The sequence below is a fragment of the Homo sapiens genome, chromosome 1, assembly GCF_000001405.40.
Source record: "Homo sapiens chromosome 1, GRCh38.p14 Primary Assembly".
NCBI lineage: Eukaryota > Metazoa > Chordata > Mammalia > Primates > Hominidae > Homo > Homo sapiens.
In genome coordinates, this window is record NC_000001.11 from 73,272,912 (window position 1) to 73,299,825 (window position 26,914).

The window sequence follows — 26,914 nt, forward strand, 5'->3', positions numbered from 1 at the left end:
GCCCTATCTTTAGGTGAAGCAACTGACTCTTTAAGACATTGTATTTCTTAGTTCCATATTTCATAATTGATTCTTATCTCAAATTTACTCTTCTATATACTTCTTAAATTATTTAACATGTTTATAACAGTTATTTAATTTTTTTCCTGATTCTAACATCTGTATAATGAGCCTGTTTCTGTTGACTATGATTTTCTCTAGATTATGTTTCCTATCTTCCTTCTCTTCTTGCCTCATTTTTAAATTATATAGTGAACAATATATATTGCAGTGGGTGCCATATTGCAGTGACATGGGATTTTGTCATCTTCCTCTAGGGAATGTTGGATTTTGTTCTAGCAGGTAGTAATTGGCAGCTACTGTCAGTTCACCTTGATCCAATGGAGGCTTGGTTTTAGACTTTATGTTAAGTCTATTATTTCTACCCATACCTTGGAATATAGCACATAATGCTATAGCTGTTTTATTTCTAATGTTTGTTGCATCTGAAGTTCAGTGGAAGCCCAAGATGTTTACAATGCCGTGTAACTTGGGGGACTTGAACTCTTTATTTTCACAACTGGGTAGCTTATATATTATCTTCTGAGATCTTTAATCTTACAGCTTTTACTTATCTCTGCATTCCTGCAGTTTCTCCAGGTGTGTGTGTAATTTAATGGCAAGATATTTCAGGGTGAGTTTGTTTGTAAATTCTTAAGGTTCCTTAATCGTGATATTTCCCAAACCATTTCTAAGTATTCTGGCATCCCAAATTAGAAACTTTGACTTACTACTCCTGTGACATTGCTGCTACTTTTTACTTGCATTGTGAATCTCACACTCTGCACTGTAAGACTGAAGGCTGGGGAGATTCTCTGCTTTAATTATCTTTTGTTCACCCCATTAGCAAGGAAAAGATTTCTAACCTATTGTTATGGGGATAGTTTAACAGATGACACCCAGTCCTGGACAGATGGGATGGACAGCAGTTTATTAGTCACATATACTCACAACCTGGGGAAGGAACATACTACGTGTCCTGCACAGCCACATAGGGATTGTACTTGGAATTACCAACCAGAAGCAGTGGCAGGTAAACTTCATAATATCAAGAGGACAGGGTATCTCTGGTTCCCAAAAGAGAATGTAATTGGCTTGTTTGAAAAATTATGCAGGCTGGCTGGAAACCCATTACTCAGCAATAAGCAGGAACTGTCATTTTCCCCCTTATGGTTGTTTGGCTAGGGTAACTTATCTGTAGGAGCAGAGGTGGGAAGGCAACTGGTGGTGAGCCCACTGGAGGCCCTCCCAACTTTACCAGATTTTGAAGCAGTTTATAATACTGGAACTTAACTTTAAGACTTAAACCATACGCTCTAAGCAGAAAAGCCTGTTAAATGTGGATCTCACATAGCGATATTCGTAATGTGATTTATTGTTTTAAAAAGTCATATACCTTTCAGCTTCTACCTATTTTTGGTCATTCTTCACAATGTTCACATTTTTACAATTTTTATATTTGTCAAAAATGTGTAATTGTTATTGAGAAGGAATTTAGTCCTCTGCAACTTTAGGAAAAATAATGTGTCATAGATGTTTTCCTTCTGAATATTTTATTATGAAATGTTCAAATATATAGAAAAATTATCAGAATTACACAGAGAAAATACAAAACCCAGCTAGATTGACAATTAACATTTTGCTATATTTGATTTATGACACATCTATCTATTCATTTTTTATCTAGCTATCAATTCTTCTTTTTTATGCCTTCATTGTAAGTTGCAGACATTAATGTATTTCACTCTACAGGCATATTGTGATGGTAGATTCAAGAGCATTAGCTGATAGAGAGGATGTAAGGTATGCAAAAAAGTAGAGTGAAGGTTTACACTATAGATTTTTGACCTAACAATCTAGAAGGATGAAGTGTTTATTATCCCAAGGAGAAATAGTTTGTGTGTGTGAGAGAGAGAATATGAGAAGCATGACTTTAAAATACGTAGTTTAAGGATCCTATCTGACATCCATGAGTTCTTTAGGTATACATACTAAGAATGCATTCTAAAGATCAGGCTAGAGGTACATATCCATGATTAACTTATTTCTTCATCTTCTATCCTCAGCCTAAGCAAAGAGCCTGAAATACAGTCTGTGTCCATTAACATTCGCTGGATGAATCAATAATTTAATAAATGAGAAAATTTAAGAAAAAATTCTTGGAAATTTTAATTATTGTTAATTTCAAAGGAAAATATTTCAACGTAGAGAAGAAGGTACCTCAGGGTTCTGATGGTCTATTTCAATTATTTTCAAGAATTTCCATTGATACGAAAGACACATGTTCTTTAAGAAGTCTCATATTGCTTAGAAAAGATAAATAATTTTGACAGTGTGATTCAATCATTTTTTCAATTATGAAATGAGGTAGCTCAAAATTTTAATTATTTATTTAATATCAGGAACATTACTTTATGTTTCTATGACCCTAGTTATTGACAAGATAAGTACATTGTAACATAAATTTACCTTGTCTATTTAAAAATTTTGACATAAATAATAGGATATTTAATTTAAATATCGACAATATTTTAATTTATTTTCTAATTGGATTTGTTGGTTATCTTCTTGTAGCAGGCAGGTAAATAACAATATACTTTTTGATAAAGGAAGAATTTCATGGGGCCAAAGATTAGCAACTACACTACAAAACATCTTGTAGTAATTTCCATATGTAAATTTGCATGTTACAAATATAGAATATTACATGAGGTAAATTATTTTACTTAGCCCCAGAAGGTAAAGTTGACCTAAGCTTGACTTGCTTATTTTTAAGTTTGTTGTTCAATGATTTGTTATAAATAATGGCTGGAATAATATATCTAGACTCTCTTGAAAGTCACAAATTTATTTTTGGGGGCATTCTAATTAACATTATATTATTAATGGAATAACTGGAAAACACTGCAGTAATTGTTGGCTGTGTCAGTGCTTTTGACAGCACTCCTAATTTTGTACTCAAGAGAAAATAATACCTCATGTTGTTCCCTTTGCATGATTAATAGACTAAGAGTCATTCATCAACTTTTGACTGGTTGTGTAGGATGAGGTCAAGGCAATCACTCAACGTTCTTATTCTTCAGAATTGTCTGAACTGGAAATCAAGAAGTTCTTAATCAGAAGATAAAATTTGCCAATGATATGAGTGAGTATTTTTTTATATATAGATGAACTAAAGGTGTTAAACTCTTGGTATAGTAAGAGTTTGGTATTAAGAATAGACTTAGATTTAAAGTGACATCCTGAGCGTGAATTATTCTGTTTGTTGATCTCCAGTCATTCTTCAAATACACTGCAATATTGGCAATCATCAGGGCTATTTTTCATAATATCCTTTAGCACATTTCAATGTCAGTATATGTTTCACTGTGACTGAATGTCGCTGCACTACAAATCTTTAGGGAGACAGGCTTGCCTGTCTCTGTGGAATTCTAAGACCTGAAGCATCTTCTACCTGTCACTTTCTGTCTATAATTTTTGAAAGGTGGGTGGAGACAGCCTGGTTTTATTTGTGATTTCTCAACTGCAACTTAATTTAGAAACCTCAACCTCCCTTTGACCATAAAAGAACATATTTGTAAGAGATCTACAGCTGACCTATAGTGTCAATATGTATAATAAAGGAGAATGGACTTACAGAGTATTCGTATCCACTTGTAATGATAATTACAATAAAGTCTTTAGTGCAAAACAAAAAGTATTTCATTTTAGAAAAAGTAGGCCAAATATTAAATTAGAATTATTAACAATAACAATTATTTTACTGTATATTTAATTTTAATATTACATTAATTAAAAGATGACCCTTTTTGAAACAATCATTTTATTAAAAATGAATATCAATTTATAATTTGTAACAATGACATGTACTTGGTTAAATATGCTTTATAATGATATTTATATTACAAATTTTGTACTCCATGTATAAAACAAACTATCAGTTTATAAATCAAATCACAGAATTTGATGCATAAAATGTATGCATTAGCTGGGTTATAGAGAATGAATAAACATTTCAACTGAAGAAATTCTATATAGCACTGAAGAACACATGCACTCATAATGGAAAATATGTCCTCTCTGTTGAGTTCTAAAGAAATATAATTTAAGCATACAGATATTAAGGAAATGATATTTAGTGAAATCATGAGCTCAGGAAACTTTTTATTTCCTAAATTAATTTAATGCAATCAGCTTGAACTGAAGAGAAACAGATGTTGGTAACATTCTCCAAATTTACCTTCCAAAAATCATGTTATAAACTATATGTGTTAACTTTGTTTTTATATAATAGTTTGGCCTCTAGTATTTATAATTTTTACATGAATTACAGTTTTTAATAGTTTATGATAGTTCAAAATGTATACTTGCTTTTTCTTGCTTGGGTTTTACCCTAATCTTAAAGAGGCAGAACCCAGCCTAATTAATGCAAAGCAGAAACAGAGAAGGAACATTTTTGTCTACTTTTATATTGACGTAAAAGTAGAAAAAATTTGTTTTCACCTATAAAACTAGATAGATTTCAGCAAATAGTTCTCATTTATATATAACTTTTCAAACAAATGACAGTAAACAAGAAATAATTCTTTCTTGTTTTTTTGAGACGGAGTCTGGCTTTGTCGCCCAGGCTGGAGTGCAATGGCATGATGTTGGCTCACTGCAACCTCTGCCTCGTGGGTCCAAGCAATTCTCCAGCCTCAGCCTCCGGAGTAACTGGGATTAGAGGCACCCACCACCATGCCCAGCTAATTTTTGTAGTTTTAGTAGAGACAGGGTTTCACCATGTTGGTCAGGCTGGTCTTGAACTCCTGACCTCAAGGAATCCACCCTCCTTGGCCTCCCAAGAAATAATTCTTGGTTAATAATACTATTCATCTTTAGAAATATAAATGAAGTTTTATTGCTAAAATATATGAACAAATACTAAGGAGGATTATCAAAGGTTTGAGATAAGCTGTGAGAATAAAGCAAAATTATGAACACTTGAGGAAACAAGAACAAGAGATTACATCTACTGGATGTTCGATTTCATTTAAGAATTTATTAAAATAATTGTCACTTATTAGACAAAATAATATATTATAGTGGTGGATGGAAATGGCTTCATACAGATGCATTTTTGAGAGTTACATAAATTATAGAAAAAAACACCTGTATAATAATATGTTAAGCCAGGTGAGATTGTCATATCCTTTTCTGTAACTTTTTAATAGGTATTGTTCCCTTGTTATCATCAGCCAGAACTGTGTACTGATACTTCCTCCAAACACTGTTGGTATAATGAAGGTATCCCAAACACTGTGCTTTGACATCATTGTTGTCCACCTGGAGCTGCCCTTGGTGGTCTTGAACATCAGTAGTTTGGGTTCTCTTTCTCTGACCACTAGTTCCTCACAGCACAAAAACATTATCTCATTGCTATTATTAAATATGGAAGAGACAGTTCAGTCTGCTCTTCTGTTTGACACGCCTATGATTTAAACCTTGTGACAGCAGGTGAATATCTAGTTGAGAAGCTTGAAGAAGAAATAAGCTACATTTTTTCTAATGAGATCTTAGACACTATTGGAACATTTGAAGGAAATTTTTATATGCCCACTTTGTTTTGTTAGATCATGTTTACTGAAAAATAATTACAATTAATCTGAAGTGCCTTCCATGTTCTCTTCCATAGTTTATAGTTGATACAGTTAATACTCTAGAAGACCTTTCTCATCACTGCTTTTTCTTACTCATCCCCAGGTAACTAAAAGAAGAGTGTGTGATAGAGGATTTGTATCAACCTCTTGCACACACTCTCAACTCCCTTGTTTATTTCTACTTTTACTATACTCATTAGCCCTCTTTCTTCTACTTGTATCCTACACTACACTGATTTTATTTGACCCAAATTTGTCCCCTCTCTTTATTTGCCTCAGAGAAAATATTTTTAAAATATTTTATTTCTATCTCACTGGCTCTTTTGTAAGTCTCTATTTGGTGGCCTTTCTGTTGTTAAATAATCTCTAAATACTAAAATGCCCCAGGACTCAGTACTCATGCCTGTTTATTTTCCTTGTCTAATCTTATTTCTTAGTGCTTTAGCCAGTTTTTTTTTGGCTCTAAATATTGTGTATATTATAATGATTCCTGAATACATATTCTATTCTGAGAGAAAAGTGGAGCAAGATAGAATAGGATTCCCAGGAATTGTCCCCTCACAGAAATCTCAATTTGAACTACTATCCACAAACATGCCTAAACAAGAGCTATAAATACTAGGTGAGTGATACTAGAACTGGTTGAGGCAAAATAATGAGAAAAGAAGCATTGAAGAAGATAGGAAGGAGGGTTTTACAATACCCACTGTTATCCTTTCCCCAACCCCAGGCAGCACAACCCAGACAGAAATACAATCCACTTGAAGGAGAGAGGTAAGTGCATACAGGACTTTGCTTTGAGATCCCAAACTGAGCATACAACAATAAAACTCAGAATTGAATAGGCCCCAATAACCTCAAACTCCAGGCCAGTATCCATCAATTGAGCCCTCAGACTAGCTAGCACTAAGCCAGATGCTGTTGCCCCAGGTTTCATGCTTGTGAAGCAGACTCCATCTCTGGTTCACACTCAGTAGCTCTGTGTTCAAAACATCCCTCAGTGGCTGACAGGCCTCAATGACCCCAAGTTTCCAGCCTGTCCCAGTGCCATGCTAGCCTCCAGGTTTTGGGCGTGCCCTAGCACCACAGAAAATACAGTGGCCTCAGGCATCAAAACCACTTCAAATGGTCTGCCTAAAATCTGCAAAGACAAAGCCAGTCTGCAAAGACTGGAATAAATACCGACTTCCTTAAATGTGCAGACATAGATGCACAACCATGAGGATCAAAAACAATCTAAAAACATGACATAACCGAAGAAATAAAATAAAATGCCAGTAACAACCCTAAAGAAATGGAGATGCATGAACTGTCTGACAAAATTTCAAAATAACTATTTTATGGAAGTTCAGTGAAATTTAAGAAAATACAGAGAAACAATTTAATAAAGTTTGAAAAACAATAAATGACCAGAAAAGAAAATTTAACAGATTGAAATATTTAAAAAACAATAGAATATGAATCCTGAGCAGAAAACACAATTAACAAAATGAAAAATGCAATAGAAAGCATTAATAGAACTGATCAAGCATAAGAAAACCTGTGTGAACTTGAATAAAAGTTATTTTAAAATGGACAGTCTGAAGAGAAAAAAGAATACACAATAATGGAGAAAGCTTATGGGATTTATGAGACAGCAACAAAAAATAGATATTTGATTTATGAAGTTAAAGAGACAGATAAATGCATAGAAAGCTTATTTAAGAAAATAATAGCAGATAACTTTTCAAATCTAGAAAAATATGTAAATATTCAAGTACACAAATGTTTTAAAAAATTACTAATCAGAATTAACCCCGAAAAGAGTACTCCAAAACATGAACTTTGCATTTCTATGTGAATATTAGAACCAATTTGACCATTTCTCAAAAAAATGCACCTGGTACTTTAGCATGCAGATAGGTATTGGGTTGGCTCTGTAGATGATTTGTGGGAGTACTGCACTTTTAACAAGCTTTCTAGACCATGAACATAGAATGTTTTTAAAAATATTATTTATATCTTCTCTAATTTAATTAATGATGTTTTGAGTTTTCCTTGCACACATTTTGTACTTTTGTTCCTTATATTTTTAAATATTTTATTTTTATTTAAGCTTTTGTAATATAATAGTTTTATAAATTTTATTTTTAGATTGTTTACTGTTATTGGACAGAAATACAATAGATATTTTAAGACTATTTTTTAAGATTGCAGCAATTTTAAGAGTACAGCAAAATTGAGGAAGTTACAGATATTTTCTATATATCCCTTACCCTCCACATATGCATAGCTTCCACTATGATCAATATCACCGCCCAACAGAGTGATTGAGTTGTAACAATGGATAAACCCACAATTACACATCATAACCACCCAAAATTCATAATTTACTTGAGAGTTCCTTCTTGGCATTGTACATTATGTGAGTTTGCACAAATGTATAATGACATGTAGTTATTGTTATAGTATCACATAAAGTATTTTAGTTGCCTTAAAAATCCTCTGTACTCTGCCTATATATCGTTTCTTTTCCCCAACCCCTGGCAATTAAAAATTTCTTATCAGATTGCTTTCTTATTGTTAAGTTTTAAGAGTTGTGTATTTTAGATAACAGTCTTTTTTTAGAAATATCTTTTGCAAATATTTTCCCATTGTCTGTACTTTGCTTTTTATTCCCATAACATTGTCTTTTACAGGCAGAAACTTTTAATATTAATGATGTCCAGATTGTCAATTATTTCTTTCATAGTGTCTTTGATGTTGTAAAAAGTCATTGCCATACCTAATCTAGCTCATCTACATTGTCCCCTGTTATCTTCCAGAAGTTTTATAGTTTTGTGTTGTATATTTAGATCTATAATCCATTTTGAGCTTATTTTTTGAATGGTATAAGTCTGTTTCCAGCTTCTTTTTCATGAGAATGCATAGTTGTTCTAGAACAATTTGAAAAAAAGACCATTTACTTCATTGTATTGCCTTTGCTCCTTTATAAAAAGATTAGTTGACTATATTATGGGATATATTTCTGGGCCCTCCACTCTACTCTATTGATCGTTTTGTATTTCTTTCAGCCAGATGTCTTGATTACTCTAGCTTTATAGTGATTCTTTAAGTTGGGCAATGTCAGTCTTCCAGTTTTGTTTTTCTTCTTCAATATTGTGTTGGCTCTTCTGGAACTTTTGCCTCTCTCTGTAAACATTAGAATCAGTTTGTTGATGTCCACAATGTAACTAGATTTTTATTGCAATTGCATTAAACCCATAGATCAGTTGTAGAAGAACATATCTTTACAATATCAAATTTTCCTATCAATAAAAATGGAATCTTTCTCCATTTGTTTAGTTCTTTAATTTTTTATCAGATTTCTATAATTTTCCTAATATAGATCTTGCACATATTTTGTTAAATTTATATGTAAGTATTTCATTTTTGAGGTGAAAATTTAAATAGCATTGTATTTTCAATGTCAGATTTTACTTGTTTATTGCTAATACATAGGAAAGCACTTGACTTTAACATATTTGCCTTGTATTCTGCAACCTTGTATTCTGCTATAATTGCTTACTAGTTTCAGGAGATCTTTTTCTTATTGTTGTTTCTTTCATATTTTCTACATAGACTATCATGACACTGCATGCAGAGTTTTATTTCTTTTTTTTCCAATGTACAAATTTTATTTCTTTTTCTTGTCTTATTGCATTAGATAGAACTACCAGTACAACGTTTAAAAACATGGAGAGGAGACATTCTTGCCCTGTTTATGATTTTAGTGAAAAAGCTTCTAGTTCTTCATAATTATGTACAATGTTAGTTGCATGTTTTTTTGTAGCTAGATATTATTTTACCAAGTTGAGAAATATTTGCTATTTCTCATTCCTGGTTTGCTGAGAGGTTTTGTTTTTTAGTTATTTTTTGTTTTGTTTTGTTTTTTATCATGTACACATTTGGGATCATGTAAAATGTGTGGGGTTTTCTGCTTGTTTTGTTTTGTTTGTGCATCTCAATGTGACCATGTGATTTTTTTTCAGCCTGTTGATATGATAAATTGCATTAGTTGATATTCAATTGTTGAATGATATTTTCATATATAGAATAAATTTTTCTTGGTTTCAGTGTATAATTCTTTTTATGTATTGTTGGATTTGGTTTGCTAGTATTTTGTTGAGGATTTTTGCATCTATTTAAATGAGTGATACAGGTCTGTAGTTTTTTTTTTCTTATAAGATATTTTTCTGGCTTTGGTATTATAATATTTTTGTCCTCATAATGAGTTAGAAATTATTCTCTCTGCTTCCATCTTTTGAAAAATATTTTAGAGAATTGGTATACTTTCTTCCTTAAGTGTTTGGTACAATTCACCAGTGAATGGATCTGAGCCTGATGCTTTCTTTTTTGTGTATCATAGTTCATAAATAGGTAAAGGCATGTTCAGATTGTCTATTTCTTATTATGTGAGTTTTGACTGGTTGTGTCTTGCAAGCAATCAGTTCATTTTATCTAGGTTATCAACTTTGTGGCTATAGAGATGTTCATCGTGTATCTTTTCTAACCATTAAAGGGACCTGACATGGAATCATAGTGATATTCTCTATTTAATTTCTGATATTTGTAATTTGTGCATCCTCTTACCTCCAGCTCTTTCTCTCTCTTTTGTTTTTGTTTGTTTGTTTTTTGGTAGCCTGGCTAGAGGTTTATCAATTTTATTGATCTTTTCAAAAAAAAAAAAACAGGTTTGAGTTTTGTTAACTTTTATCTCCTGTTTTGATTTCATTAATTTCTTCTCTAATTTTTAAAATTTATTTTCTTTTTCTTTGGATTGATCTTGTTTTTCTTTTTCCTAGATTTCTATGGTAGAAATTTAAGTTATTTATTTTAGATCTTTAGTCTTTTCTAATATATACATCCAGTGATATAAAGTTCCCTGTGAGTTATGTTTTTCTACATCCCACAAATTTTGATAAGCTGCGTTTTCATTTTTATTTAGATACCAATATTTTTTCAAATTTCTCTTGAGATTTTTTTTTGACCCGTGTATTATTTAGAAGTGTGTTCTTTAATCACCATTTATTTTGGAATTTTGCAATTTTCCTTCTGTTATTGACTTCTAGTTTAATTCCACTGTGGTCTGATAGAAGACTTTGTAGGATTTCTATGCTTTTAAATTTGTTACAGTGTGTTTTATGGCACAGAATATAGCCTTTCTTGGGTGAATCTTCTACTTGAGTTTAAAAGTGTATTGTGCTGTTGTTAGATGAAATAGTTTATAGTCAATTATAACTAAATGATTGATGGTGTTGTATATCCTTACTAATTTTCTGCCTACTGAAACTGTCTATTTTTGATAGGCTGTTAAAGTTTCCAACTACAGTAAAGGATTCATACATTTCTTCTTATGTTTCTAAGAGATTTTGCCTGTCATAATTTGGTATTCTTTTGTTAGGTGTATACACATTAAGGATTGTTAAGTCTTTCTAAATAATTGGCTTCTTTATTAAAATATAATATCTTTTTTAACCACAGTAACTTCCCTTGATTTGATGCCTGCTTTGTCTAAAATTAATATAGCTACTCTTGATTTTTTTATTGTTGTTATTATGGTAAAATTTTCTATCCCTTTTCTTTTAATCTATTAGGTTGGTCCAAAAGAAAGTGCGGTTTTTGCCATTAGGAATAGTGCCTTTATTAACACCACACATCTACAACCATCTAAAATTTGACAAACTTGACAGAAACAAGCAATGGAAAAAGATTCCCTATTGAATAAATGGTGCTAGGAAAACCAGCTAGCCATATGCAGAAAACTGCAAGTGGAACCCTTCCCTACACTTTATACAAAAATTAACTCAAGATAGATGATTAAAGACATAAATGTAAAACCCAAAACCATAAAAACCTTAGAAGAAAACCTAGGCAATACAATTCAGGACATAGGCATGGGCAAAGACTTCATGACTAAAACACCAAAAGCAATTGCAACAAAACCCAAAATTGATAAATGGGATCTAATTAAACTAAAGAGCTTCTGCACAGCAAAATAAACTATGATCAGAGTGAACAGGCAACCTACAGAATGGGAAAAAAGTTTTGCAATCTACCCATGTGACAAAGACCTAATATCCAGAATCTGCAAGGAACTTAAACAAATCTACAAGAAAAAAAAGACCCTATGAAAAAGTGGGCAAAGGATATGAACAGACACTTTTTAAAAGAAGATGCTTACACGTCCAACAAACATATAAAGAAAAGCTTAACATCACTGATCATTAGAAAAATGCAAATCAAAATCACAATGAGATACCATCTCACACCAGTCGGAATGGGCATTATTAATGGGTCAAGAAATAACAGATGCCGGTGAGGCTGTGGAGAATTAGGAACACTTTTACACTGTTGGTGGGGATGTAAATTAGTTCAACCATTGCAGAAGACAGTGTGATGATTCCTCAAAGATCTAGTACCAGAAATGCCATTTGACACAGCATTCCCCTTACTGGGTATATACCCAGAGGAATATATATCATTCTGCTATAAAGACACATGCACACGTATGTTTATTGCAGCACTATTTACAAAAGCAATGACATGGAACCAACACAGGTGCCCATCAATGACAGACTGGATAAAAAAAATGTGGTACATATACACCATGGAATACTATGAAGCCACCACAAGGAATGAGATCATTTCCTTTGCAGCAAAACGGATGAAGCTGGAAGTCATCATTCTCAGCAAACTAACACAGGAACAGAAAACCAAACACTGCATGTTCTCAGTCATAAGTGGGAGTTGAACAATGAGAACACATAGACACAGGGAGGGGAACAACACACACTGGGGCCAGACAGGGGTTCAGAGGTGAGAGGAGAAAAATAATTAGGACAAATAAGTAATGTATGCGGGGCTTAAAACCTAGATTACAGGTTGATAGGTGCAGCAAACCATTATGGCAAATGTATACCTATGTAACAAACCTACACATTTTGCACTTGCATCCTGAAACTTAAAGTAAAATAAAGTAAAAATAAAAATAAAAAATAAATTTTTAAAAAGTATTGTATTATATTTAAAGTGGGTTTTGTAGAAAACATACAGCTAGGTCTTATTTTTTGATCCACTTTAACAATTTCTATCTTTTAATAGGTGCATTATATCATTGTTTTTCTATTTGTCGCCCTTGTTTTTGATTCCTATTTTTATCTTCCATATTTTTTCTGCATTATATGGTTTTAATTGAGCATTTGATATGATTCTATTTTCTCTCCTTTTTTAGTATATCGGTTTTGCTTTTTAAATTTATTTTTAGTGGTTGCCCTAGAGTTTGCCATATACATTTAAAACTCACTCAAGTATACTTTAAGTTACTCTACATTGCTTCAAAGGTAGTGTGAATATTTTATAACAAAATCATCCTAATTTCTCCCTTCTCTACCCTTTTATTATTACTGTCATTTATTTCACTTATGTGAGCATATGAACAATGTATATGATATATAAATGATGCGTACATATGCATACATAATCAAACACACTTTTGCTATTATTTTAATCTGTTATCTGTTAGATTACTTAAAAATAAGAAAAATAAAAGTTTTCAGTTTCACTTTACTTGTTTCTCCTTTGATGCTCTTCCTTTCTTTATGTAGATCAGAGTTTCTGACCTATATTATTTTCCATATCTCAAAATAACTTCTACTCACATTACTAGCAAGGCAGGTATAGTGGCAACAAATTTCCTCGATCTTTGTCTGAGAAATTATTTTTCTTTCATTTTTAAAGAATAAATGCAGAAGATACAGAATTCTAAGTTAGTGGGGTTTTCTTTCAATACTTTTAAGTTTTTCACTCCATTCTCTTCTGCCTTGCATGGTTTCTGAAGAAAAGTCATATATAATTCTTATCTTCGTTCCATTATAGATAAGGTGGGTTGTTTTTTTTTTTTCCACTCTGGCTTCTTTTAGATTATTTTTTATCTTGAAAATGCCATATCTAGATGTAAAATTTTTTGTTTGTTTGTATGTTTTGTTTTGGTTTATGTATCCTGCTTGATGTTTTCTGAGTTTCCTGGATCTTTGTTGATGGCTAATAATTTGGATATATTCTCAGCCATTATTGTTTCAAATATTTCTTCTATTTTGTCCCTTACGCCCCCTTCAAGTACTCTTATTATGTGTAAATTACCCTCAATTTTCTATTAAAGTATCCTCAGTTTTGTAGATTCATTTCTTAGTTTTGTCCCATTTACTAATATGGTCATCAAAGACATTCTTTATTCCTCTTATAGTGTTTTTGATCTCTAGCATTTCTGTGTGGTCCTTTCTTAAGATTTTCATGTCTCTACTTATATTTTCTACCTGTTTTTGTATGCTGTCTATTTCATCCCTAGAGCCCTTAGCATATTAATTACAGTGATTTTAAATTCTCAATCTGATGTCAACATTTCTACCATGTCTTGTTCTGATGCTTGCTCTGTCTCTTCAAATTGTATGTTTTTTTTCTTTTAGTATGCCTTGCATTTTTTTCCTGCTAGCTGAATATAATATAATGTGTAAAAGGAATTGCCGCTAACAGACCTCTAGTAATGTGATGGTAAGGTGTGCAATGAGGGGATCCTATTATTAGGTCCCCGTCTTTTAGGGAGCCTATGCCTCTTGACAATGAACTTCACATGTACTTCTGGGTTTTCCTTCTTAGGTGCAGCAGAGTGGTTAGTGTGGACTAGAGTTGGATATTTCCTCTTTGCCAAGTAGGGGGCTAGAGTGGACTGAAGTTGGGTATTTCTTCTACCACATAAAAGGTTATTGCTGGCCAGGCACGGTGGCTCATGCTAGGTCTTATTAAGAAGAACAGAATGATCTAGCATGTTTCACAATGAAACCTCCACCAAACCCATCCCTGCTGCCAGAAACAACCGGGTTTTTTGTCCAATATTTACTCTGAGAACCTGGTTGTTATTCTGGAGGTAGAATTCACAAAAGTGTAGTAGCCTCACTATGACTGGTTCTCTTTAAATTTTTAATACTCAGATTATCCAAAGATCATCCAACAATTTCTTAATTACAATTTAGGTTTTCCTACCCTGGCACTAGTTCCTGTGGTTGTTTCTGCTTGTGATTCTCTACTCTGGTTGGCCATGACTCCATTTGTTTGCCTGTCTTTTTCTTCAGTCATGGGGACAGCAGTTTGCCTTTTGTCTGTCCCTCTCTTACGGATCCAAAAAGAAGTCGATTTTTCAGTCTGTTCAGTCTCTTACTTGTTGGGATAAGAGTAGCAAATTTCAAGCTTCTTATATGCAAAACCTTCCAACAGATTTTTGTATATTGATCCTATGCCCTTTAAACTTGCTGAACTTGTTTTTTTTTTTTTTTTTTTTTTTTTTTTTGAGACGGAGTCTCGCTCTGTCACCCAGGCTGGAGTGCAGTGGCGGGATCTCGGCTCACTGCAAGCTCCGCCTCCCGGGTTCACGCCATTCTCCTGCCTCAGCCTCCCAAGTAGCTGGGACTACAGGCGCCCGCCACTACGCCCGGCTAATTTTTTTGTATTTTTAGTAGAGACGGGGTTTCACCGTTTTAGCCGGGATGGTCTCGATCTCTTGACCTCGTGATCCGCCCGCCTTGGCCTCCCAAAGTGCTGGGATTACAGGCGTGAGCCACCGCGCCCGGCCCTTGTTTAATAGTAAGTACTTTAGTGGATTACTTCAGATTTTTCATATAAAGGATCATACCATCTGGAAATAAATATGGTTTTATATTTTTTCTAATCTGTGTGCCTATTATTTCATTTTTATGCCTCATTTCCCTGAATAGAACCTCCAGTAAAATGTTAACATAAAGTTTTATTACTGATCTTTTGGTAAGCTTTGAGTATTTCACCAATAAGTATACTAGTCAATAAGCTTTGCCTTTATTAGGTTGAACAAGTTTTCACCTATTCCTGGTTTGTTGAATGCTTTTATCATAAAAGCATACTGGATTTTTAAAATGCTTTTTCTAAATCTACTGAGATAATCATGCCAGGTTTTTTAAAATTTATTTAATATTTTGTATTACATTAATTGTTTTTTAATGTTAAATAATGCTTGCCTTTCTCAGGTATATTCTACTTGATCTTAGCCTATAATCCATTTTGCATTGTGTGAATTCAGTTTGATCGTATTTAGATAAGGATTTTTGCATAATATTAATAAACTTGGCATACATCTTTCTCTTTCTGTGATGTGTTTCTTAAGTTTGGTATCAGGGAAATGTAACACTAGCCTCATACAACAAATTTTTAAAAGTTCGCACCTCTTTTATATTCTAAAAGTTTATGTAATGATTGGCATTTTTTTTGTTAAAAGTATTAGAATTCACCAAAAAAGCCATCTAGGCCTGGAATTTTTTTATAGGAAGTATTTTTACTTCATAATTCACTCTTTAATTAATTTCATTATTGTTTCATTTGATATATTTTTCTCTTTTGTTCTATTTTCTTAGTGGTTGTCCTGGGGATTGTGAATAATATTTTAACTTAAAACAATATAGTTCTGATTAATATCAACTAATTTTAAATACTACCTAATAATTTTGCTCCATGTCAACTACATTCCTTCCAGGTCCTTTTGTTCTGTTATTGCCATGTAAACTAAATTTTTATACATTTTTGTGAGCATCAACAGTTATATAATTATTGCTTGGTGCCATTGTCTCTTATATCAGATAAAAGTAGAAAAAATTATAAAGAAAACACATTTTTATTAACAGTTTAGTTACATTTACTCATGTAATTTTCTTCTCTATGTGAATTGAGTTATTGTTTAGGGTCTTTTCAATTGAGCCTCAGGAATCCCTTTAATATTTCTTCTAGGCCAATTCTACAACTTATAAGATTTCATAGCTTTTGTTTATCAATGTATTCTTGATTTATTTTTTGTTTTAAAGGATAGTTACAATAGATATAGAACCAGTGCTTCATAGTTGTTTTGTTTTGTTTTGTTTTGTTTCAGTACTTGGGCTAATTCCACAGCCTTCTGGTCTCCACGGTTTCTGACAAGAAGTTAGCTGCTAATCTTACGAGCATGCCCTGATACTTTTTATTGAATCTTTTATGATTCACTCTGTGTCACTGAATTTCCACAACTTGACTCTGATTGTGTCTAGGTGTTGATCTCTAAGTTTATACTACTTTGAGTTTATTAAGCTTCTTGAATGTACTACTTAAGTTTTACATCAAATAAAGAAACTACTTTGCTTGCTTATCCCTAAGAAGCAATTTTGCATCTGTTCAAGTTTTGTCACAAAATTGTAGCAGTGCAGGAACACCTTCAGACTCCACTTTTTAAGTCAAGTTATATTGCTGTTTTTTTCATATCTGCAGTTACATCCTCTGCTGAAGTGCTGAACCCTTCAAAGTCATTTATGTGGACTGGAATCAGCTTCTTCCAAACTCATTTGAATGTTCATATTTTGATCTCCTTTCATGAATCTCAAATGTTTTTATTTTTTATTTTTTTTACAGAGTCTTGCTCTGTCACCCAGGGTGGAATGCAGTGGCGCAATCTCGGTTCACTGCAACCTCTGCCTCCCCAGTTCAAGCAATTATTCTGCCTCAGCCTCCCAAGTAGCTGGGACTACAGGTCCACCACGCCTGGCTAATTTTTGTATTTTTATTTTTAGTTTAGTTTAATTTTTGTATTTTTAGTAGAGACAGAGTTTCATCATATTGGCCAGGCTGGTCTCAAACTCCTGACCTCGTGATCCGCCTGCCACGGCCTCCCAAAGTGTTGGGATTACTTTGGGACGCAGGCATGAGCCACTGTGTCCAGCATTTACAATGTAAATCCTTTCTAGAGAATTTTCAATGTGCTTTTCTCAGATTGATCAGATGAATTATAATCTATGGCAGCTACCATCTTTCAACCTATTTTTCTTAAATAATAAGACTTGAAAGTCTAAATTAATTCTTGATCCATTGACTGCAAAACGGATGTTGTGTTAGAAGGCATGAAAATACTAAACAATTTGTACATTTTCACCAGTGCTCTTGGGTAACCAGATGCATTGTCAATGAGCAGTAATACTTTAAAATAAGTCATTTTTTTTTTTTTCTGAGCAGTAGGTCACAATCGTGGGCTTAAAATATTCAGTAAACCCTATGATGTAAACAGATATGCTGTCACCCAGACTTTGTTGTTCCATGTATAGAGCACAGGCATTGTAGATTTAACATAATTTTTAAGAGCCCAGTAATTTTTGGAATTGTAAATGAGCATTGGTTTTAACTTAAAGTCAGAAGCTGCATTAGCCCCTACCAAGACAGCCAGCTTATCATTTTAAACTTTGAACCAAATATTGACTTCCTCTCTCTAGTTATGAAAGTCTTAGATGACATATTTTTCCAATATAATGCTGCTTCATGTATTACTATATTGAAAAATCTGTTGTTTAGTGCAGTCACCTTCATCAGTTATCTTAGGTAGATGTGGATAACTTGCTGCAACACCAAGATAGGCACTTGCTGTTTCATCTTACACTTTTATCTTAAGGAGATGGCTTCTTTCCTTAAACCTCATGAACCAACCTCAACTAACTTCAAACTTTTCTGTTATTTTTCTGTTGAGACATTCTAGGAAATTTTTCATTTCAATTACTGAACTTTTCACCTCTAGAATTTATGTTTGCCTATTTTTTATTTTTTATTTATTTTTTATTTTTTATTATTATACTTTAAGTTTTAGGGTACATGTGCACAATGTGCAGGTTAGTTACATATGTATACATGTGCCATGCTGGTGCGATGCACCCACTAACTCGTTATCTAGCATTAGGTATATCTCCCAATGCTATCCCTTCCCCCTCCCCCCACCCCACAACAGTCCCCAGAGTGTGATGTTCCCCTTAAAGACTTAAAACATTAGACCTAAAACCATAAAAACCCTAGAAGAAAACCTAGGCATTACCATTCAGGACATAGGCATGGGCAAGGACTTCATGTCTAAAACACCAAAAGCAATGGCAACATAAGTCAAAATTGACAAATGGGATCTAATTAAACTAAAGAGCTTCTGCACAGCAAAAGAAACTACCATCAGAGTGAACAGGCAACCTACAAAATGGGAGAAAATTTTTGCAACCTACTCATCTGACAAAGGGCTAATATCCAGAATCTACAATGAACTCAAACAAATTTACAAGAAAAAAACAAACAACCCCATCAAAAAGTGGGCGAAGGACATGAACAGACATTTCTCAAGGGTAGACATTTATGCAGCCAAAAAACACATGAAAAAATGCTCACCATCACTGGCCATCAGAGAAATGCAAATCAAAACCACAATGAGATACCATCTCACACCAGTTAGAATGGCAATCATTAAAAAGTCAGGAAACAACAGGTGCTGGAGAGGATGTGGAGAAATAGGAACACTTTTACACTGTTGGTGGGACTGTAAACTAGTTCAACCATTGTGGAAGTCAGTGCGGCGATTCCTCAGGGATCTAGAACTAGAAATACCATTTGACCAGGCCATCCCATTACTGGGTATATACCCAAAGGACTATAAATCATGCTGCTATAAAGACACATGCACACGTATGTTTATTGTGGCACTATTCACAATAGCAAAGACTTGGAACCAACCCAAATGTCCAACAATGATAGACTGGATTAAGAAAATGTGGCACATATACACCATGGAATACTATGTAGCCATAAAAAATGATGAGTTCATGTCCTTTGTAGGGACATGGATAAAATTGGAAATCATCATTCTCAGTAAACTATCGCAAGAACAAAAAACCAAACACTGCATATTCTCACTCATAGGTGGGAACTGAACAATATTTTTTTATAATTCTATTCCTGTATTCATATTCTCTATTGAGTGAGAAATCATTGTTATAATCATTTTGCCTGGTTGCTGTTTTAAGGATATTTTAAATTCTTTGTTTGGTTCATTCAACATTTGGGCTTCCTTGGGGATAATTCCATCAACTGCTTTCTACCATGTGTACAGGACACACTTTTCTATTTTTTGTTTAACTTTTTGTTGTTGTTTTAAAAGTTGCCATTTTAATAATCTAATGGATAACATTTTAAATCAAATTTTCTCACAGGGTTTCTTCTTGTGGTTGAGTATAGTGGTTTTCATTATCATGTGTGTTTGTTGCTCAGTGAATTTGTTGGGCTAATTCTGTAATATCTATATTGTTTTTCATGTGCAAGCACTTGATGCCTTTGCTTAATTAGCCTAGTAATCATTAAATTATTGGACAAAAATTTCTGTTAAATATCTTAGGCCAGTATGTATTTTAGCCAGCTGAGTGATTCTGTGTGTATGTTGAGACAAGTCTCTGTGCTCTGAAAGGCAGTTTATTACTCTGTTTTAGCCTCTATTTCCCACTTGAGCAATACCTTAAGGTCAACCAGAATTGAGAAATTAAGGCCTTCTCAGGTATTTTCTTGGCTTGTACACAACATTTCAAATGTTCACGGCCTTTTATGTTCCCAGGAATTTGTTGAGTCTATAAAAATTTCCCAGGTACAGCCATTTCCAAACTTTTTTCTGGCCAATGTCTTCTTCAATTAACTGGTAATATTGTCACAGACAGTTTTCATATTAAATACTTCTTGTTTCTTGGTTTTGACAAATTCCCTGAGGATAAGGCTATTTGAACAAAGTTAACTCAAAGTTAGATAAAATAATAACAAGCTCTAAGAATAGAGCTCTTCAACAAGCTGCAAAGTTAGAAAATGATAATTCTCTAATAATGGGGGTCCTGGAGAGCTCTAAATCCATCTACCCCCTCCAGATGCTACTAAGGTACTAGTTTTAATAGGTACCGTACTTGTGAAATTCTTGATTTTCAAGACTATGATGGAGTGATCAGAAAAGGATAGGATTAGGGCAAATTAAAAAGCTAAAGACTCACTGTTCTTATCAGGATTCAGTCAGTTTTCTTTAATTCAATCATTTTGGCTGGTTGAAATTAACAAGTTCTGAAAAAGTTGATAATGACAGCTCTCACCATGATCTCATAGTTTTTATTAAAAAGCTAGTTTTCAGAAGTTCTTACTCCACCGTTATAGTAGTGGGAAACTTTATATTATAGTATTGTGCTCTAATAAACAGTGAATACAACCCATAATCGGAGAATGGGAAGCCAACTTAATCTAACAATAAAATACTTAAAGGTAGCTTATAAAAGTTAAATGTTTTGACACACTTTTGGATTCATATTATTGCAATTAAAAATCGGAAAGCAGTCTTAATCCATATATCAGGTTTGAAAAGTTTATTTTTGTGGATTACTTACCAAATGATGTTTAGTACGCAGTATCATCTTTGCAAAAATTAGCTAACTTACTGCTTACAGTAACTATATAAGGAAATTGAAGCCCAGAGAGAAAAGCGAGGCACAGACAGAAAAGATAATTTGATCGAAGTCCGTATTTACCAAGTGAGACAGTCAAGGCTAGGATGAGGCCCTCATATTGTGGAGTCCATGACCATGGTCATAATACTTAATGTTCCTCATATAGAATATAATGGCTTAGACATCCCTGACCCATGGATAAATAAGCATTGCAGGTTCCTAGCCATCTGGAAGTCTCACCTTAAGGGTGACACAGAGCTTTTCATAAAGCACTAGTTGAACAAAATATTTTCCTACTTCACAATTTTGTCATTAAATCTGATATAGACTAAGTGTACATTTCTAAATTTTAAGTATGTACCAATTTAAGATATAGGAATAAGAAATTGATAGCTCATTAACAAAAATTCCAAAGCAAATGGGCTAATAGTTGGAACATGAGTAGATTAATACTGAGCAGAATAAGGCAGAATTATCACTTCTTTATACAGACTCATTGTAATTTATCTTTAACACAATTTATTGGTATCTACTTTGGTACTTAGGAGAATGTAGGCAAAATGTATTTATTGACTAATGACTGCAACTGAAATGTGTTGCAATAAACTGATAATTGAATGATACTGAGGAGAGCTAGGTTCTAGTTCAGCTCTCCTTTCTTCTTTCTTGAAAAATAATTTCACCATTCCAGGTCTCAAGTTTCTTAGAAAAAAATGAAAATTTGGGTAGAACACCTTTAACAGTCATTCCAATCAACACAATTTGCTTGTCAAATATAAGGAAATTTATACCATAAATTTCTTTGAAACAAAAAATATATATTTTCTGCAGTTTCTTGTTTATATGTGAAGATATAACAATTATTCAAAAATACAAAAGGCACAGATCCTACCCTCAAAGATAGATAACAAAATTATAAGACAGAAATATTCAGACCAGAGCAGATCAAGAATAGTTTGGTGCAGTCTGAAATTTTATCATTAACTATGTAGACAGTTCTCATAGTTGATGAAAATGTAGCTGAAGTGGTGTTTAATTGGAAATTTCTTGATTAGCCACTGCAACTCTAATGAATGCAAATTTTAACACTTTCAAAATTATATCCTACTGTGTGAATCTTTTTTATGCAATCAACAACAAAACTAAGTACTGATTTACTAAAATGATGCTAAAAGTTATTTTATTGTTAATCAAATTTCACTTTCCATCTTTCTAAAAACTAAATTTGTATATGCTTTTGTCTATGTAACATAGTGGGATTCTGTTGGAATCTTAACTAGTAAACTACTTACTTCTAACTCTAATTTAGTCAAGGAAAAATATATCAGAAATAAAGTGTATTTTAAATTATTATTTTAACAAAAACAAGTCATAAAGAAGCAATATAATTGTTTAGGTATCTTTTTTTACGTACTTCAACAATATCTACCAAGCACAGTTTGTTGTACCACTGGAAATTTGCTTCAGATCCAGAACTTCTCGTTAAAGTTCACAATGATAGTATGAGATAAGAAAGGAAGAAGATATCTACTCATTTGCAGAAACAGAGGAATGTATTATTTTGCAAACATTCATTCATAAACATGGGATAAGAGAGTTGGAAACAAACCTAAGTTTTTCTAATTCAACATTTTTTTTTTCATTTCATGGGGAGGAAAAATAATCCCACTTGCTCCCAACCCCATCATCATAGCCATTTGTGATTTATAAGCTGTGCCTCTACTTTAGAATCTGGAAGATAAATCCGATTCTTGAGTACCTGTTGAGTGTTTTCTGCTAAACTACATTACCTTTTGAAAAGTCAACTTATTTTTCACTAAAATAGGATAAACAAAATCTTGTCAAGAGCAAACTGATATAAGAGTTCTTCAATGTTAATCACAACTTTTACTGATTAGTCTGCACATAATAACTTGTGCTTCTTTATTAAATACATTTAAATATTCTGTCCTGAACTAGTTTACTTAGGGACTACAGCATAACCACTTAGTTGAACTAAGTAATACTTATGAAGTGCTTAATAATATTGAGAAAGGCTATCACAAATCAATGTGATATTGGTTGAAAATAGTGATTCAAGATAGTTAATCTGCAGGAATTTGGATTTGCCTTTAATGCAATTTGAAAGCTATTGTGTTGATTTGGATTTGATATGCATCATATATTTTCACGTCATTCACCTATTGAAACACCCAGGATTTGCACAAAATGTGGAAGATCACATTCATTTCTACCTCTGAGTTTGCCTGCAGCCAGTGTAGCTTTCATGCTTACACTTTCCCACTACTCCTTTAAGGACTTTTTCCAGAAACATTGCAGCTTCCTTGAAAAAAACAAACTTAAGATGGAATTAATGACTCCAAAGTAATCCTCAGCTCCTGAAGGACAATATGTGAATAACCCGGATTCACCGTATTCTGGTGGGACAATTTTGAGGCAATATAAGACAGAACAATCCAATCATGAATGCACATTTTATTGGCTTTTCCCCTTCCTTCTTTCATATTTCTCATTGCCTCACTTGTTCCTCCTGGTGTCACCTCCCAAGACCAGTACTCAAGACTTTCTCTTAAAGTTTGTTTTCATAAAAACGTAAATAAGACATTGGGTTGGGAGTATTCTTCACTGTTAATTATTTAAGTCATAAAAGTGAACCACCTTAATTTCTCACACTTATATTCACGGAGCTAATAACCTGTTGGCAGCGATGACTATGAATTATATAAAATAGTATATACAAACTGGTTAAGTATAGATTTCTATTTTATAGAACTTTAAAATGTACAGGGCACCTTAGAATATATAGTAGAACAGTTCACACCTGAATAATAATGGTGTATGAATTTACTTAGAAATTTGACGTTTTAAGTTCAAGAAATGGTATGGCAATAAACTCATGCTAAATGACCTAAATTGCTGGTTGGAGATTCTTCAAAGATGTGTGTTGGTGTCTTAAATACAATATCTTATTTTTAAGTGTTTTAATAATCTATATTTTTTCTTCTTTTTCAAGAATCTTTATGTGAGAATTTGTCATAATGCTTTTATATGACTCTACTTCAATTAAACATGAACTTTCTGTACATAAATATTGGACATTCCATTCTAGCAGCAGAACGGGTTAGTGAAATTATGGCTCAGAATCAGCTCATATGATAAATACCAGGGTGTTTTAGAGGCAGAAAATACAGTACAAGTATGTCAGTCATTATATGAAAAGAAAACAGTCTCCAAGTCACTTTTAGAAGCCAATATACACCATGAAAATAAGACTCAACAAGAAAACTACAGATCTATTCCATATTCCTCATAAATAAAAATATCCTTAATAATATTTAAAATACTTTAATATATATATTATATATATAATGTGTATGTGTATGTGTGTGTGAGTCCATGTATGTGTGTGTGGTTTTATGTGTATTTCAAATATCATAGTATATCCAAGCAGAAATAAACTTGGTTTTATCTACCAAGCTCTATCAAGGGCATTACAATTTTCTTTACAAAATAATTTTTAAAAGGTAGTACATACTATATAATGAGAACTATGCACACTTCGGTATACAAAGACCATTAATTTAAGCATACCTGGAAACTCTTGCACATGTGAATGAATGTGTTTATAATTGAAAATATTTGAAATCAACTTCTTTCCAATAATGAAAACTCTTTGCAAGGGGAATGTTTCATTCAATCCCTGTTTTTCTCTCCCATATAGTGCTAATCTTTACATCTTGAACATGCGTGCTCTACATTTTTATTGAATCCACTCTGTAATATTAGGGACCATATAGTATAGTAAAACATTCTTGTACTTTCTTCTCTAATTTTTTTTATTTTTACATAAGCTTTATTATTATTACTTATCTTTTGAAGTGGATACCTCCATTCAGTATGCTGCAAAATACTGGCTCCCTGCCCTTAACTCGCTAAGAAAGGCTTCTTTTTCTTTGCTTAGTGATAATTCATCAGTGAACCTCTTGCTTTACTCTATTAGTCCGTGTTCACGCTGCTGATAAAGTCATACTTGAGACTTGGGGAAAAAAGAGGTTTAATCGGACTTAGAGTTCCACATGGCTGGGGAGGCCTCAGAATCATAGCAGGAGGCAAAAGGCACTTCTTATATGGCAGCAGCAAGAGAAAATGAGGACGATGCAAAAGCGAAAACCCCTGATAAAACCATCAGATCTCGTGAGACTTATTCACTGCCAGGAGAACAGTATGGGGGAAACCGCCCCCATGATTCAAATGATCTCCCACTGCGTCCCTCCCACAACACGTGGGAATTATGGGAGTATAATTAAAGATGAGATTTGGGTAAGGGCACAGAGCCAAACCATATCATTTACCTAAAGCCATATTTTTTCTCTGTTCCCCACCAAATCTAGAAATCAAACAGTGCTTGGAACACAGTAGTTCACAATAATTGTTAAGTAGGGAGGGTCAACATTCTGAAGTGATGTAAGGAGAAGAGTCATTTCTTTTCTTTTTTCTTTTTTTTCTTTTTTTTTTTTTGAGACTGAGTCTCGCTCTGTCGCCCAGGCTGGAGTGCAGTGGCGCGATCTAGGCTCACTGCAAGCTCCGTCTCCCGGGTTCACGCCATTCTCCTGCCTCAGCCTCCTGAGTAAGTGGGACTACAGGCGCCCGCCACCACGCCCGCCTAATTTTTTTTTTTGTATTTTTAGTAGAGACGGGGTTTCACCGTGTTAGCCAGGATGGTCTCGATCTCCTGACCTCGTGATCCGCTCGCCTCGGCCTCCCAAAGTGCTGGGATTACAGGCGTGAGCCACCGCGCCCGGCCGAGAAGAGTCATTTCGTAATTAATTCTGAGTTAAAAGCATCTTCTGGCCAGACACAGTGGCTCACTCCTGTAATCCCAGCACTTTGGGAGGCCGAGACGGGCAGATCACTTGAGGTAAGGAGCTGGAGACCACCCTGGCCTATATGGCGAAACCCCGTCTCTACTAAAAATATAAAAATTAGCCGGATATGGTAGCGGGCGCCTATAATCCCAGCTACTCAGGAGGTTGAGGGAGGAGAATCACTTGAACCTGGGAGGCAGAGGTTGCAGTGAGCCGAGATCGTGCCACTGCACTCCAGCCTGGGCAACAAAGTGAGATTCCATCTCAAAAAAATAAAAAAAGAAAAGAAAAGAAAAGAAAAAAAAAAGCACCTTCTTCTTGGAGCAAATACAACATGATTCTCCTTTCCTGAATAAAACTACTTAAAATCTTCCCATCCCCAATACAGCAGCATGCTTTGCCATTTAACATTATTTTCAGCAAAATTTTACTATACTTTTAATTTTTAAGGGCTTTCACAGGTATATCTGAAAGTATCTTTGGTTCAATTAGATGATTTTATTTCCATCTAATAATGGAATTTTGGTAAATGTTAGAAGAGGTTGATAGTCTATTGTGGTACTAATTTATAGTCATTATATATTTATTCATTCAGTAAATATTTTTTATGCTCTCAGTGTTCTAATCATTATTTCATTTATGACTAGCTACAAATCTATGCTTGTTTAAGAGCTATTCAGTAATCAACAAGCTCTATGCTAGTTTCTCAGAATAATAAATCCTTTGTGACATCGAGTTCACCGTCTAGTAGTGGAAATAGTAAAGAAATGGGAAAATTGCAATATTGTGAAATTAATGCAACAAAAGGTGCCTTAGTCCATTTGCTGCTGCAGATAATACCTTAGGCTTGGTAATTGGTAAATAATAGAAATTTATTTCTCACAGTTCTGGAGACTGGAGTTACAGCACCAGAAGAATTGGTGTCTGGTGATGGCATCTTCTATTCCTCCTCAAATGGCAAAAAAAAGACACAAAGTAGGGACAAATGTTGTGTCCTTATGTGGCAGAAGAAATGGAAGGGTGAAGCAGTTCTCTGGAA

General features: G+C 33.6%; 1 pseudogene, besides 1 other annotated feature; it reads right to left on the reverse strand.

Annotated features, from left to right (window-relative positions):
• LOC105378800 (endogenous retrovirus group K member 21 Gag polyprotein-like) overlaps window positions 1-26,914 on the reverse strand; it is a 213,368-nt pseudogene that overhangs the window by 143,764 nt on the left and 42,690 nt on the right.
• Window positions 25,133-25,634: an enhancer, noted in NCBI's record as "H3K4me1 hESC enhancer chr1:73763727-73764228 (GRCh37/hg19 assembly coordinates)". NCBI's record gives its function as "activates a minimal SCP1, AML or CMV promoter by ChIP-STARR-seq in naive H9 embryonic stem cells {active_cell/tissue: H9 hESC(naive)}" and the evidence as "EXISTENCE:reporter gene assay evidence [ECO:0000049][PMID:30033119]".